Source organism: Homo sapiens, chromosome 4 (assembly GCF_000001405.40).
Source record: "Homo sapiens chromosome 4, GRCh38.p14 Primary Assembly".
Lineage (NCBI taxonomy): Eukaryota > Metazoa > Chordata > Mammalia > Primates > Hominidae > Homo > Homo sapiens.
Genome location: NC_000004.12, coordinates 26,211,775 through 26,227,108, shown reverse-complemented (window position 1 = coordinate 26,227,108; position 15,334 = coordinate 26,211,775). Strand labels below are relative to the sequence as shown.

The 15,334-nt window shown below is 44.8% G+C and overlaps 1 protein-coding gene and 1 long non-coding RNA gene across 3 annotated transcripts in view, besides 1 other annotated feature; one reads left to right on the top strand and one right to left on the bottom strand.

Moving 5' to 3' along the window:
• Nucleotides 1-15,334, bottom strand: part of RBPJ (recombination signal binding protein for immunoglobulin kappa J region) — a 329,683-nt gene that overhangs the window by 208,023 nt on the left and 106,326 nt on the right. The gene's annotated exons all lie outside the window — the stretch shown is intronic.
• LOC124900690 (uncharacterized) overlaps nucleotides 1-15,334 on the top strand; it is a 77,297-nt gene that overhangs the window by 48,317 nt on the left and 13,646 nt on the right. The window contains exon 2 of the long non-coding RNA XR_007058094.1: nucleotides 14,190-14,310. This is a non-coding gene — a long non-coding RNA (uncharacterized LOC124900690). The remainder of the gene's footprint in view (nucleotides 1-14,189; nucleotides 14,311-15,334) is intronic.
• Nucleotides 8,880-8,939: an enhancer, noted in NCBI's record as "active region_21392". NCBI's record gives its function as "activates an Ori minimal core promoter by ATAC-STARR-seq in GM12878 lymphoblastoid cells {active_cell/tissue: GM12878}" and the evidence as "EXISTENCE:reporter gene assay evidence [ECO:0000049][PMID:35858748]".

Sequence of the window (15,334 nt, the reverse complement as noted above, 5' to 3'; positions counted from 1 at the left end):
TGTATCCTTCTAATGTTGCTGTGCAAACATTCTCTCCTCCACTTCCTTGAGACAGAGACAAATGACCAAGGCACAGGTGAATATCCTGGGAGTCATACAAAAGAGCCACTTACAGGGCTTTATTTTATGATCAGTAAAGACTCATCCACTTCTCCCGGCCTTGTGTCTTTGCAGTTCTGTGTCTTTGAAGTGCCTTCCCCATTACCAAGGACTCATCATCAAATAAATTTCAGTGATGTTCAGCCTAGTCTTCTCATTAAACCAGTTTTATTGCATGCATTCTAATTCTGAGAAAATTGATTGGTTATGTGTGGTATCCATGGTAACCCTCACTTTAACAGAATATAAAATTAACCAGACCACTCTGTGCCTCTGACATTCTAGATAAATGAGTTAACCACACACAGAAGCAAGTGAACACATTTTTAAGGCAATTTTGAGAGTTACATGCCTATTGGATCTTAGAAAGGATCAGATTACATTCCGTGTAACCCAACTTGAGTAGATGATCATCACAAAGCCAGATGAGCCTTAATTTCCCCATTTTAGAACTGAGGAAATTGGGTGTTAGCATCTCTAATTCCTTCCCCATCCCCAATTTTCACTGCATGAATCCAGATTTATTTTTTTCCTTGAGACAGGTCCTCATTCTGTCACTCAGGCTCAAGTGCAGTAGTACAATCACAGCTCAATGCAGCCTTGAAATCCTGGGCTCAAGCAATCCTCTCATTTCAGCTTCCCAAGTTATCTGGGACTATATGTGGGAAGCACCATACCTGGCTAATTAATTAATTTTTTTTCTTTTTTGTAGAGACAGGGTCTTGCTATGTTACCCAGGCTTGTCTTAGACTCCTGGCTTCAAATGATCTTCCCTCCTTGGCCTCCCAAAGTGTTGGGATTACAGGCGTAAAACACCATACCCAGTCAGAAATTTTTATTCCTTTCTTTTTTTTTTTTTTTTTGACAGAGTCTCGCTCTGTCACCCAGGCTGGAGTGCAATTGCATGATCTTGGCTCACTGCAACCTCCACCTCCCAGGTTCAAGCAATTCTCCTGCTTCAGCCTCCCGAGTAGCTGAGATTACAGGCAACCACCATCATGCCTGGCTAATTTTTTGTATTTTTAGTAGAGACAAGGTTTCAGCATGTTGGCAAGGCTGGTCTTGAACTCCTGACCTCAGGCGATCTATCCACCTCAGCGTCCCAAAGTGCTGGGATTACAGGCATGAGCCACCATGCCTGGCCTATTCCTTTTTTTTCCCCCTATTTAGTAGCATGGCAGTGGAAAATATCCTGCTTCTATTTTATTAGTGTTTGCCCTTGAATTTTTAAAATTAATAGATCTTTTTTTTTACAATGGCATTAATTTTCCAGAAAAATTGAGCAGAAACTAGAGTTCCCATATATTTCCCCCACCCTACAAGTTTCCCCTATTATTAACATTTTGCACTGATATGTTACATTTGTTACAAGTGATGAGCCCATATTGACGCATTATTATTAACTAAAGTCCATAGTTTACATCATGGTTCGCTCTTTGTGTTGTATATTCTATGGGTTTTGACAAATGCATAATGTCACATATCCACCATTACTGTATCATACAGAATAACTGCACCACCTGAAAATCCTCTGTGCTCTGCCTGTTCATCCGTCTCCCTTTCCCCGGCAAACACTGATATTTTTACTGTCTCCATTATTTTCCCTTTTCCAGAAGGTCATGTAGTTGGAATCACACAGCATGTAGCCTTTTCGGGCTAGCTTATTTCACTTAACTATAAGCAATTAAGTTTTTTATTCATGTCTTTTCATTGCCCTTGATTTTTTAACAAACAGGTTAACCTATATTTGCCTACCAAGTAAAGACTTAATCAGTACAGCCCACTCTGCTTTCCTACCACAAAGCAATGAGTTCTCTTAAATTCTGTTTTCCTTTATACCAGCTACCTCCAACTCTGGTTCTGTTAAAATTTTGGTTCCCGATAGGTATTGAAGTTTTCATTTATATTATACATTTTATATCAGGAAATCTTTTCTTAATATATGAAGTTCAACAAGTCCACTGCCATCAGTCATTTGGATTTTGCTCTATGCCTCCCTGGTTCTTTTCAGTTTTCACTGTTTCATGTATACCACGTCTTTCCTTCCTTAGTCTTTGTTTTGTCTCTAACATTTTTAGAGCTCTCTTTGGGGCTGGGTGAGTAGAGCTAGACCAGATGGGACAGGAATTCCTTTGAGGATGAAGTTCCATTTGGAGCTATAGCCAGGCTTCTAAAGCCAGTATCTTGTGACTGCTTCTGGAAAACTGTTTGTCAATTTACTGAGCGTTGTTTTCGCTGCCCTGACTGGCATACATTTAGCAAACATGTATTAAGCAACTACTGCATGCTAACACCATGCTTCAGTAGAAGCTCATGTTACTTGGATTCTGCCATCAAGAATGTTCTGTTCTGGGCAGGGTGCGGTGGCTCATGCCCATAATCCGAGCACTTTGGGAGGCCTAGGTGGGTGGATCTCTTGAGGTCAGGAGTTCGAGACCAGCCTGGCCAACATGGTGAAACCCTGTCTGTTGCGGGAAGTTCCTCTCTTTTGTACTCTTTCTCTGTATTTCTCAGACCAGCCGACACTTAGGGAAAATAGAAAAGAACCTACGTTGAAATATTGGGAGCTGGTTCCCCCGATACCTGTCTCTACTAAAAATACAATACAAAAAATTAGTTTGGCATGGTGGTGCATACCTGTAGTTCCAGCTACTCAGGAGGCTGAGGCAGGAGAATAGCTTGAACCTGGGAGGCAGAGGTTGCAGTGAGCCGAGATTGTGCCACTGCACTCCAGCCTGGGTGACAGAGCAAGACTCCATCTCAAAAAAAGAATCTTGTGTTCTTACGGAACAGAATGCACAATGGGAGTAAATGGGAGTACAGGGGGAAGGGGAGGGGATGATGGTGATTGGTGTCCAAGATAGATGTTCTGTGTCAGAAAAAAATGGAGATCAATTCAAGACAATTAACCAATATCAATACTAATAATATCAATCATTAACATTTATTGAGAGTGGCAGGCACTCTTCTAAACTCTCTCTATTATCTTAGCTATTAATCTTGTGTTCTCACAACAACTCAATTAGGTGGAGACAATTATTCCCATTTAGAAAATTAAGCACAGAGAAATCAAGTAATTTGCCAAGGTCATAGAGTTCCGTAATTATAGAGCATGGATTCCAACTTGGGCAATCATCTTATTATGATAATGTGATGATCCTTTCTGTGCAAAGCACTGGACTAAACCCTGTGGAAGATCACAGTTTCTCAGCCCGGACTCTCTCCTGGCCTTGGTCTATCCTCTGACTGCCACTCTGTCTATCTCTCTAAGAAAGACTGTGCTTCTGTCACTCACCTCTTTGAAGACTTCTACTGACTATGCCTCCTATAGGGCCAACCTAAATCCTCAGCTGAGAGCACAAAGCCCTTGGTCAGCCAGCCCAGCTATCTTCCAGCACTGGCTCCTCTCTTAGCTCACTCCAGCCTCTCTGAATCTTCACTCTTCTCTGCTTCTGGCTTGCTGTATTAGGACATCTTCTTTTTGGAATGTCTTTCCTCTGTTTAGTTGGAAAACTTCTACTTTTTACTTTTCAAGACCGCTCTCAGGCATAACCTCCTTCAGGCAGATTTTCCCTGAGCCCTCAGGCAAAGTTGGTCGTTCCCATCTCTGAGCACCCATATGCATGATTCATTTTTCTGTTGTAGTCCTTGATAAAGTGGGATGTACATTCCTATCTGTTCATGTGTCTGTGATACACCTCAGTGTCAGGGAGAGTGCCTATCACATGAGTGTCCCTCAGTGCACAACCCACATAAAGCCAGTGAGCCTCATTCCAGTCTCAAAGAGTGCTCCTCAAAGCAGCACATCCACCATCAAACATTAATTAAAGTATAATTCTTTTTTTTTTTTTTTTTGAGACAGTGTCTCGCACTGTTGCCCAGGCTGGAGTGCGATGGCGCAATCTTGGCTCACTGCAACCTCTGCCTCCCGGGTTCACACGATTCTCCTGCCTCAGCCTCCTGAGTAGCTGGGATTACAGGTGCACACCACCACACCCAGCTAATTTTTTGTATTTTTAGTAGAGACGGGGTTTCACTACGTTGGTCAGGCTGGTCTTGAACTTCTGACCTCGTGATCCGCCCGCCTCGGCCTCCCAAAGTGCTGGAATTACAGGCTTGAGCCACCACGCCTGGCCAATTAAAGTATAATTCTTACTCAATCTATTGAGGAAACATCAAAGGATTATATGTTTTATGCACTGTAAAACCGCTTACAAATGCTCCTCCTTTCCTCTGCCCCTTTTGTAGCCTCCATAATGATGGCAGCTTTACATTCATCCATTCATTTATTCATTCACTTGTTTGTTCATCTGTTCTTTTTCTTTCTTTCCTTTTGTTGATACATAATAGGTATATATATATATATATATATATATTTCAGAGTACATAATAGGTATATATATTTTCAGGGTACATATGATAATTTGATACATTTATATAATGTATAAAAATCAAATCAGGATAACTGGAAAACTCATCACCTTAAATATTTATCTTTTTTTTTTTTTTTTTTTTGAGATTGAGTTTCACTCTGTCGCCCAAGCTAGAGTGCAGTGGCGCCATCTTGGCTCACTTCAACCTCCACCTCCCAGGTTCAAGCCATTCTCCTGCCTCAGCCTCCTGAGTAGCTGGGATTATAGGCGGCCGCCACCACGCCCAACTAATTTTTTGTATTTTTAGTACAGACGGATTTTCACCATGTTGGCCAGGCTGGTCTCGAACTCCTGACCTCAGGTGATCCACATGCCTCGGCCTCCCAGAGTGCTGGGATTACAGGCATGAGCCACCGTGCCCGGCCTGAAATGTGCTTTTAAATACCCAACTACCTATCTAGAAGTGAACGATTTTGCTGCAAGGCAAGAACATTTCTGAGATTTTACAACATGTCCTGAGATAGGAGATAGGAGACACACTGGAGTGTCATCAAAACAAGGTTGCAGATCACACACTCTAGGGCCCCTCGTCAAAGTGGAGAGTGACACCCATAAACCGGAGGTGTCTCTAGAAATTGCTACCCATTAGCACCTCTCAGTTCGTCTCCTCACTCCTGCCCTCCCCCCATCCCTCTCACCGCCCTGCCAGTCTCTGGATTGAATTCGTTCAGCGCTGGGCCGCACATTGGGAGTGGGGACACAGCATTGCACTGGCATGAGTCACCGCACCCAGCCTTAAGTATTTATCTTTATGCGAGGAACATTTGAATTATTCTCGTCTAGCTATTTTGAAATGTACAACGGATTATTGTTAACTATGGTCATCCTACCGATCTATTGAACATACTCGTCTACTCAATCAGCAAACACTGAGAACCAACTGGGTGCTCTTTTTAGTATTCTACTCTTTGTAAGTATTGTTTCTTCCAAAATGCTCTCTTTCTCTCCTACTCTCACTTTTCAAATCTCAACATTCTGTCCAGACATCTAGCCCAAGGGTCTCGCCGTCTCTCTCATTCTATACCTATGCTGGTCTTTATTCTGAAGATCATATTCCAAAGATCATTATAGCCTTTCTGCACTCTTGAGTTATCTCTGTTGGTCCCTTAACAGGATTCCCCTGAACAAACAGTAGTCTAGAAATGGACCCAGCAAACTAGAATTCTTCCCCTTTAAGATCTATTTAAGGCCGGGCACGGTGGCTCCTGCCTGTAATCCCAGCACTTTGAGAGGCGGAGGCGGGTGGATCACGAGGTCAGGAGATGGAGACCATCCTGGCTAACACGGTGAAACCCCGTCTCTACTAAAAATACAAAAAATTAGCCGGGCGTGGTGGCGGGCGCCTGTAGTCCCAGCTACTTGGGAGGCTGAGGCAGGAGAATGGCGTGAACCCAGGAGGCGGAGGTTGCAGTGAGCCGAGATCGCGCCACCGCACTCCAGCCTGGGCGACGGAACGAGACTCCGTCTCAAACAAAACAAAACAAAAAACTATTTAAGAAGAAGGGGAAGATTGTGGATATTAATATTTTAATAATATTTGTCCTAGTTATACATTAATGAGTACGTATACACACAAAAATAAGAATCAGGGCAAACATATTCTGAGTTCCAAATGGATGATGCAATCAGTAGATGCTATAGGATTAAGGGCCAAAATATGTGTTTGGGCCCCAGATGAATTTCCTCATAGTGATCTCACCACTGCGGTGCAGTGAAATAAATCCTGGACCTCAGGCCAGGGGAGCGCAGCTCCTGGCTCTGTCCCTTAGCCCTGGGTGGGTCATCTGGAACAAACACCTTAACTCTTCGAGCCTCTGGTTCCTCATCTGTGGAGATAGGGATGATTATACTAGCAGTATTCCTATGAGAAGAGCTTGGAGGCTCTGTGACATAATGGACACTTAGCCCTTCAGAGCTCAGGGAATGATTGTTCAGTCTGAATCCTTCAGTTCTAAATTCTTTATGAGTGGGACCCAGGGAGAGGCAAGCGATGCTGTGACCGGAGTTCAAGACCTGTTTTGCAACAAAGTAACCGAAACCCACCAAACATATAAACTCTGTCCGGGCATGGATTTTTGTCCTTTTTGTTCACTAATATACCCCAAGTGCCTACAATGATGCCTGGCCCATTGTAGGAGCCCAGTAGGTATTTGGTAAATTAAACAAATTTTATGTTGCAGTATAAGATACATTTTGGTGCCTTTGAAACCTAGGTCTCAGACATTGCTAGGGAGAATGACTATTGCAATAGCTTTTTGAGGTGCAATCAGGCAGAAACTATCCAAGTTCAAAATGCACACATACATCTTTGCAGGTACAATATAAATTTCTATGCTCCAGGTAGTCAACTAAATATTACTACAGCTCATCTGCATATTAACTAGCCCTGCCTATTATAGTAGTAGCTATCATTTACTGAGCATGTACATAGTGTAAAGTAGTGGCTCAGAGCACAAACTCTGAAGAAGAGTCCCTTGCTTTAAACCCTGGCTCTGGCTGGGCAGGGTGGCTCACGCCTGTAATCCCAGCACTTCGGGAGGCCAAGGCGGGCTGATCACGAGGTCACCAGATAGAGACCATCCTGGCTAACATAGTGAAACCCCGTCTCTACTAAAAATACAAAAAAAAAAAAAATTAGTTGGGCGTGGTGGTGGGTGCCTGTGGTCCCAGCTACTTGGGAGGCTGAGGCAGGAGAATGGCATGAACCCGGCAGGTGGAGCTTGCAGTGAGCCGAGATTGTGCCACTGCACTCCAGCCTGCGTGACAGAGTGAGACTCCGTCTCAAAAAAAAACAACAACAACAACAAAAAAAACCTGACTCTGCCATATACCAGTTAATGTGACTTGGATTTAGTCATTTTAACCTGTTTCTTTGTCTGCAAAATATGGATGATATCAGCACCCACCTACCTCAGGGGTTTTTAACAGTATTAAAGGGGTTCAGATATGGAAATGCTTATGACAGCCTTTGCTACACAAAGAGTTCACGTTCACTTTTTATTCATAGGGACTTCGGATGCTCGACTCAGTTCTTGTATAGCTGAAGCTTAGAGAAGTTAAATAATGAAGGTTAGAAGCAGCTAGTCAGCTACAGAACTGGAACTTGAACTCTTATCCCTCTACCCCAGTGCCTGGAGGCTTAACCATCCCATTCCTCAGTGACAGGAGATAGCACCAACATATTTTCCTTGATTCACAAAGTATTTCTGTCCTGATCCATGTTTTCCAAGTATTCCGCCCTGATCCTTGTCACAATCACCATGCTTGAGGTTAAGAAAACAACAAACATCATCATCCCCAGGTAACCTTGCCACCCCCAATAAGACTCGTGGCTGGTAGGCTGGTGGGCAGAGCTTCCTCTGGTGACATAACGAAGGGTCCAGAACTGGTTCTCCCTCCATCTGACCCCAAACCTGAATTTCCACCATAAAACAATCCTGCCCTTATTTCCCTTTGACTCATTTTTTTTCTTCTAAATTTACTTCCTCTTACGGTATTGCTTCCCTTTTTGAAAAATGCTTGTAATTCTTTTTGGGACAAGGTGGGTTATAAATACACTCATTAGCTTCCATGCTGGGGACTAGGGGCTGGATAGCCCTGAAGAGGCTCAGGCTGGGGCCTCCACCCTAGGTCTGTGTCTCTTGCAGGAGCTCTGGAGAGAAGGCCTGGTACTGAGAGGCAGGGTAATCAATTTCTCCTCAGTGCTGAGGCCTGTTTCTCGTTAGGGCCCTGGCTCCACGTGGCTCTGTGCCCTCCCTGCCCCACCCCCATACATGCTATTCCAGGCTCTGAGCACCCAGCCACGGCTTATTTTCCTGCCATGATGAGGGTTAAACAGCGAGTGGTTATTGAATGCCTGCTGTGTGCAGAGACCAGGCTGGGGACCACAGTGGCGAGGCCGAGGGGGTATGGCAGGAGAAAAGAAAGGCCCAGCCCTTGGGGATTTGCACGCCTGGCACAGACAGCAACAGCGACAGCCACAGCCACAACAGTAATAACAACAGTGTGGCAAGAGGACCAACTAGGAACCAGTAGAATGGCAGGCTCCAGAGCTGTGACCCTGTCTGACCCATGAGTACGTCCTGGTAGGAATGTTCACACTTTAGTGCTTTGGGGATTAGGTACCCTTCGGGGGGTAGAGGGGATGGGATGTGAGCAGGACCATGCATTTTGCTCCTCAGTGCCCATCAGGGTGTCTCCTGGGGAGTTTCCTCAGGCGGCCACGGTTCTGGAATGGACTTTCACTTCTGTCTTTATAGTCATCTGCTCGGTTCTCTTGGTTACATCACTGAGAATCTGTCTCTGATTATTTCCCCATCAACAACAGAGAGTCTGTGTTTGCACGTACCCACCGGCGACAGCTGGGTGGATAACGGCACCCTGATTGCCTTCGCATAGGGTCTCCCAACCCAGATCCTCACATGAACAAAGACAAAACTGTGGCCCTGGGTTTGCTCAAGGTCACACAATGAGAAACAATGTGAAGTGGGACTTGGATCTTCTTGTTCCCTGTGCGGGGCTCGTGGAAAATCAACATTGCTCCTAGCAAGACGGTCCTGCTGCATTTTAATAAGGTGGAAATGCCCCGGTCTGTTTTGTTTTTCCTCTCTCTTTCCAAAACCTTTGAGCGCAGAGCTTCTTATCCACGAGTGTTTACTGAACACGTCTATGTCTCTGGCACTTGCGAAGCCCTGTAGGAGCTACAGAGATCTAAAGACCTGTTTCGCAGGGACTGTCCAAACCCAGGTCTGACTCTGAAGACAGCCCCAGCTACATAGCAGGTTGGATCTTGGGAGGGAATTTAGAAGTTTTTTTGTCATAGTGGAAGGAATTGGATAAAAATTCCAAATACTCGGTTTGCATTTTTGTTGTTTTTTTCCAACTGGGCAGCATTTCCACCCACTTTGGGTTTTATATTGAGTGCAAACAGCGCTGCCAAGAGGCAATGTTCTACCTTCAAATCAGGAGGCCGCTTCACAGTTCTGAACCCTGGGGTAGCTGCTTCTCATGACCTTCCAAGTTGCTGGGCATTCAGATTCTAGAAACGTAATTGGGCTTTCGGGGTCTGCTTGCATCCTCCTGGCTAAAATAGCTCAGGCCATAAAAATACCAGAATGAGAATACTTGCAGCAACCTCACATCCACATATTCCAAGCAGAGGCCATTAAAACCTCCACATGACACTGGTGCTGCTCTTCAATGCCACAGGAGCACACAGCTGAATGGAAAAGGAAGGGGCATTTTCAGGGTGAGTTCAGCACCCATCAGTATAAGCTTTCATTTATCCTCCTAAAAAATCATCTTGCAGCCTTTCAGAATAATTGATAAAGTTTGAGTCCCTTTTGACATGGTTTTACCAGGCCACATTAAGGCATGGTCTTTACATATTGCCTTTGTCAATGTGAGTAATTAAATCTCTGGTTGGGAGAGACAAGGTTCAGTAACATTTGGTGGTTCTGACCTACCCATTCCACTCTACCTCTGCCAGCCATCTAGTCCAAACCACCTCCATGTTTTGCCTAGAATCTCAAAGAGCACCTTATCTGACTTGTCTACCCTCAGTTTTCCCCTTTCACATCCATTCTCCACAAAGCACATGTGTAATTTTTTTCAAAGACACACCTGGTCATGATCCTCCTTGACTGATTGACTAAGACAGTGTCTTACTCTGTTGCCCAGGCTGGAGTGCAGTGGTGCAGTCATGGCTCACTGTAGCCTCAACTTCCTGGGCTCAGGCAATTCTCTCACCTCAGCCTGCCAAGTAGCCGGGACTGCAGGTGTGCACCACCACACCCAGCTAATTTTTGTATTTATTTTGTAGAGATGGGGTTTTGCCATGTTGCCTAGGTTGCTCGCAAACTCCCAGGCTTAAGTGATCCACCCAGACCTCAGCCTCAGCCTCCCAAAATGCTGGGATTACAAGCATGAGCCACTATGCTCGCCCTCAATCCTCCCCTATTTAAAACCCTCTAGGAGCTCCCCACTGTCTCCAAGTCCAAACATCACCCCAGAGCTTAGGAAGCCCTCAGTGACCTGGCCCAACCCCACCCCTCTGGCTTCACCTTGCCCCATTTCTAGCTTGGTGGAAATCCTCGGATGTTCCATGCTTTCTCTTCAAGGTTTTCAAACCTGCCAGCATCTCTGGAAGCTTTCCCTCTGTCCTTCACTGTGCTTATTCACATTTACCCTTTGGGTCTCAGTTACTATTCCATGAGAAGAGGGAGCAAATCTCTCATTCATTACTTGTAGTGGGTGGAATGGTGGCCCCCTTCCCAAATGATATGTTCTTCTAGTCCCTGGGAATGTGACCTTATTTGCAAAAAGAGTCTTTGCAGGAGTAATTAACTTAAAGATATCCTGATAAAGTCATCTTAGATTATCCAGGTGAGCCTTAAAACCAAGAGAAAGGCAGAGGGAGATTTGAGACACAGAGCAGAAGGCCATGTGATGGTGGCTGCAGAGATTAAAGCCTTGCAGCCATGAGCCAAAAAGCACATGGAGCCACTAGAAGCTAAGAGGCAAGGAACTGAATTTCCCCCGGGGTCTTTGGCGATAGGGAGGGTGGCCCTGATGACACCGTGATTTCAGACTTCTGGTCTCCAGAACTCTGACAGAGTAAATTTCTGTTGTTTTAAGCCACTCAGCTGGTGATAATTTGTTACATCAGCCCTAGAAAGCCAATGCAGTGCCATGCCCCTCACCCCCAATGTGCTGCCCGGCACTGAACAAATTCAATCCAGAGACTGGCAAGGAGGTGAGAGGGATGCGGGAGGCGGGAGTGGGGAGATGAACTGAGAGGTGCTGAAGGTTAGCCATTTCTAGAGGCACCTCCAATTTATGGGTGTCGCTCTCTGCTTTGAGGAGGGTCCCTAGCGTGAGAGTGTGTGATCTGCCACCCTGTTTTCGTGACACTCCAGTGTTTCTCCTATTATCTCAGGACGTGTTGTGAAATCTCAGAAATATTCTTGCGGCAAAATCGTTCACTTCTAGATAGGTAGTTGTGAATTTAAAAAGCACATTTCAGTCGTTTAGCAAATATAGCTTAGCATCTGTAAGAGTCCTTCAAACTTTATATGAGTTGATTTTCTCCCTGAAATTTGTTCCTTTTCCAGTTGTTTTTGTCCCTCTTTGATGTAGTCGTCCCCTTCCCTCCCTCCCTTCCTTCCTTCCCCCCCCTTCCTTCCTCTCTCCCTCCCTCCCTTCTTCCTTCCTTCCTTCCTTCTTTTTTTCTTTCTTTCTCTCTCTCTTTTTCTTTCTTTCTTTCTCTTTTCTCTCTCTTTTTCTCTTTCTTTCTCTCTCTTTTTCCTCCCTCCCTTCCTTTCTTTCTTACTTTCTTTCTTTCTCTCTTTTCTCTCTTTTTCTCTTTCTTTCTCTCTCTTTTTCCTTCCTTCCTTCCTTCCTCCTTCCCTATCCTCCTTCTCTCCCTCCCTCCATCCTTCCTTCCTTGTTTCTCTTTCCTTTCTTTCTTTTTCTTTCTTTCTCTTTCTGTCTTTTTTCTCTCTTTTTCTCTTTCTTTCTCTCTCTCTTCCCTCCCTCCCTCTTTCTTTTCTTTCTTTCTTTCTCTCCTTCCTTCCTTCCCTCCCTCCCTCCCTCCTTCCTTCCCTCCCTCCCTCCCTCCTTCCTTCCGTCCTTCCTCCCTCCCTCCTTCCTTCCTTTTTTCTCTTTTTTCTTTCTTTTTCTCTTTTTTCTCTCTCTTTTTCTTTTTCATTTTCTCTTTCCTCTCTCCCTCCCTCCCTTCCTTCCTTTCTTTCTCTTTTCTCTCTCTCTCTTTTCCCTTCCTTCCTTCTCTTTTTCTTTCTTTCTTTCTCTTTTTTCTCTCTTTTTCTCTTTCTCTCTCTCTTCCCTCTTTCTTTCTCTCTCTCTCCTTCCTTCCTTCCATCCTTCCTCCCTCTCTCCTCCCTCCCTTGTTTCTTCCTTCCTTTTTCTCTTTCTTTTTTCTTTTTCTTTCTCTTTTTTCTTTTTCATTCTCTCTCTGTTTCCTCCCTTCCTTCCTTTCTTTCTTTTTCTCTTTTCTCTCTCTTTTCCCTCCCTCCCTCCCTCCCTTCCTCCTTCCCTCCCTCCCTTCCTCCTTCCCTCCCTCCCTCCTTCCCTCCTTGTTTCTCTTTCTTCTCTTTCATTCTTTCTTTTTCTTTCTCTTTCTCTCTCTTTTTCTCTTTCTTTCTTTCTCTCTCTCTTCCCTCCCTCCCTCCCCTTCTTTCTCTCTCCTTCCTTCCTTCCTCCTTTCTCTTCCTTTTCTTTCTTTCTCTTCCCTCCCTCCCTCCTTCTCTGTCTCCTTGCTTCCTTCCTTTCCTTCCTCCTTTCTCTTTCTTTCTTTCGTCTCTCTTTTCTCCCTTTTCTCTTTCTTTCTCTCCTTCCTTTGCTTTCTTTCTCTCCTTCCTTCCTTTTCTTTCTTTCTTTTCTCTCTCTCTCTCTTTTCTCTCTTTCTCCCTCCCTTCCTTCCTTCCATCCATCCTTCCTAGCAATGAGGTCTCTCTATGTTGCCCAGGCTGGTCTTGAGCTCCTGAGCTTAAGTGATCCTCCCACCTCGGCTTCCCAGAATGCTGGGATTACAGGTTTCTTCAGTTCTTCCATGTTGCTAAGTGATACCTCCATCCACTCCATTGTGCAAACCCAAGACTTGACTTGAGCCACACCCTTATTTTCCCCTTTGCCATCACCCTTATCAGCAAATCCTGTCGAATCTATTTTCAGAACACATTTTGGGGTGGTCTGCCTCTCTCCAGCTCCAAGCATCCACTGAAGTTCAAGCTGCCATCATCTCCCTCCTGGACTTCTACAATGGCCTCTCCCCATAAAGTCACAGCTGTTCTCTTACAACCTAGTCTCCATCCAACAGCCAGAGTCACCTTTCCAGGAATAAATCTGATCTTGGCAGTCTCCTGTGTGAAATCCTTTAGTGGCTTTTCATTGCAGTTAGAAGCAAATCCAAACCCATTTCCATGGCCTCCTGGGCCATGCTGGATCTAGCCCCCGCCTACCTTTCCATTCTCATGGGCAGTCACTCTCTCCCATGACTCCTGTGTGCAGCCTCACTTACCATCTGCTGTTCTTCTAATCTTCTCATCTCACTGCTGCCTCAGGGCATTTGCATCTACTGTGTCCTCTGTTAGGAATGCTCTTTTATGACTTTCAAATACCTGACCCCTTCTCATTTTCCTAAGCCAGGCTTATTCTTAGAGGAAAAAAAACCCAAACAACAGTTTTTTTCTCTGCCCTTGAATTATAACAATGAACACAGAGGACTTTGGTGTGAAATTTGGGGGATTTTCTTCCCACCAGCAAGCAAGCAATCAATTCTGCAGCAGACACCAGTTGGTTGTTCCCCAGTTCAATTCAATTCTGATGCTAGCCACCTGGGATAGAGGTGTCCTGTCATTTCAGGACCTCTGGAACTTCTGACCTACTGACTTCAAGTTGGGGTTCTCATGACCTCTCCTTTAGGCTTGATTAATTTGTGAGAGTAGTTCACAGAACTCAAGGAAACACTTATATTTACTAGTTTATTATAAAGGACATTTTAAAGGATATAAGCAGCTCGAAGAGGAGACACATAGTACGTGGTCTGGAAGGTCCTGAGTGCAGGAGCTTCCATTCCTGTGGAGTTGAGATGTGTCCCGCTCCTGGTATGGGGATGAGTTCTTGTTCATCTTCCTGCAGCCTCCAGGACTTCAGCTGTCCAGAAGCTCCCATACCCTGTCCTCTTGGGCCTTTTATGGAAACTTCACTGAGTGGACATGAAGGATGGACACTGATGTAGAAATGTGACTGGACAAAAAAGGTATGATCTCATACTGAAAGACCAAGTGAGGAACCCAGCAAAGCCTGTCTGTTTAGATTCTGCTTGGCCTCTCTGTGTAACATTCCTTTCTGCTGCGTATGGGGCAAGACCCCTTCTGAAATGAAGGTCTTCTGACCACAATCAGACAAGGTAGGTCAGAGAATTTCTTTATAGCCAGCTCCAAGGCAGAAAGGCAGGGAAAGATTAAAGTCCTGCCTTGGGGAGAAAAAGCAGTATGTGAAAAAAGAAGGTGGGAATCGCTTGAACCTGGGAGGTGGAAGTTGCAGTGAGCCAAGATTGCACCACTGCACTCCAGCCTGGGTGACAGAGTGAGACTCTGTCTCAAAAAAAAAAAAAAAAAAAAAAGAAAAGAAAAGAAAAAGGCAGGAGAAGATGAGAAAGGGAGAATCTGTTTTCTGAGGCCTGTTTCTGAGGCTTAAAATGCCCCAACATTGTAATAATAGCCTGTAACAAGAGCCATGGAAGTTATGAGCCAGGAACCATGGACAGAAACCTGCATATGTATATAATAAAATAATATCACATCTTCCCTGACCACCCTATGTTAAAAGTAAAATTAGCCACTTTTTCCATCGGTCATATGGGTTATTATAATTTCCATTGTAGCGGGGAGGATCACAAGCTGAAATGAGGTGTGTATTAGTTTGCTAGGGTTGTTGTAACAAAAAGTGCCACAAACTGGGTGACTAGAAGTCTGAGATCAGGGCATCAGCAGAGTTGGCTCCTTCTGAGGGCTCTGAGGGATGCTCTGTTCCCACACTTCCCCTGGCTTCTGTGCTTGCTGGCAATCTTTGGTGATCCTTGGCATCTGGCGCATCACCCCCATCTCTGCCTTCGTCTTCAGGTGGACTTCGCTCTGTGTCCAAATTTTTCCTTTTCGTAAGGACACCAGTCATATTGGATGGTCTACTGTACTCCAGTATGATCTCATCTTAACTAATTACTTCTATAATGACCCTATTTCTAAATAAGATCATATTAAGGGGCATTAGAGGTTCAGACT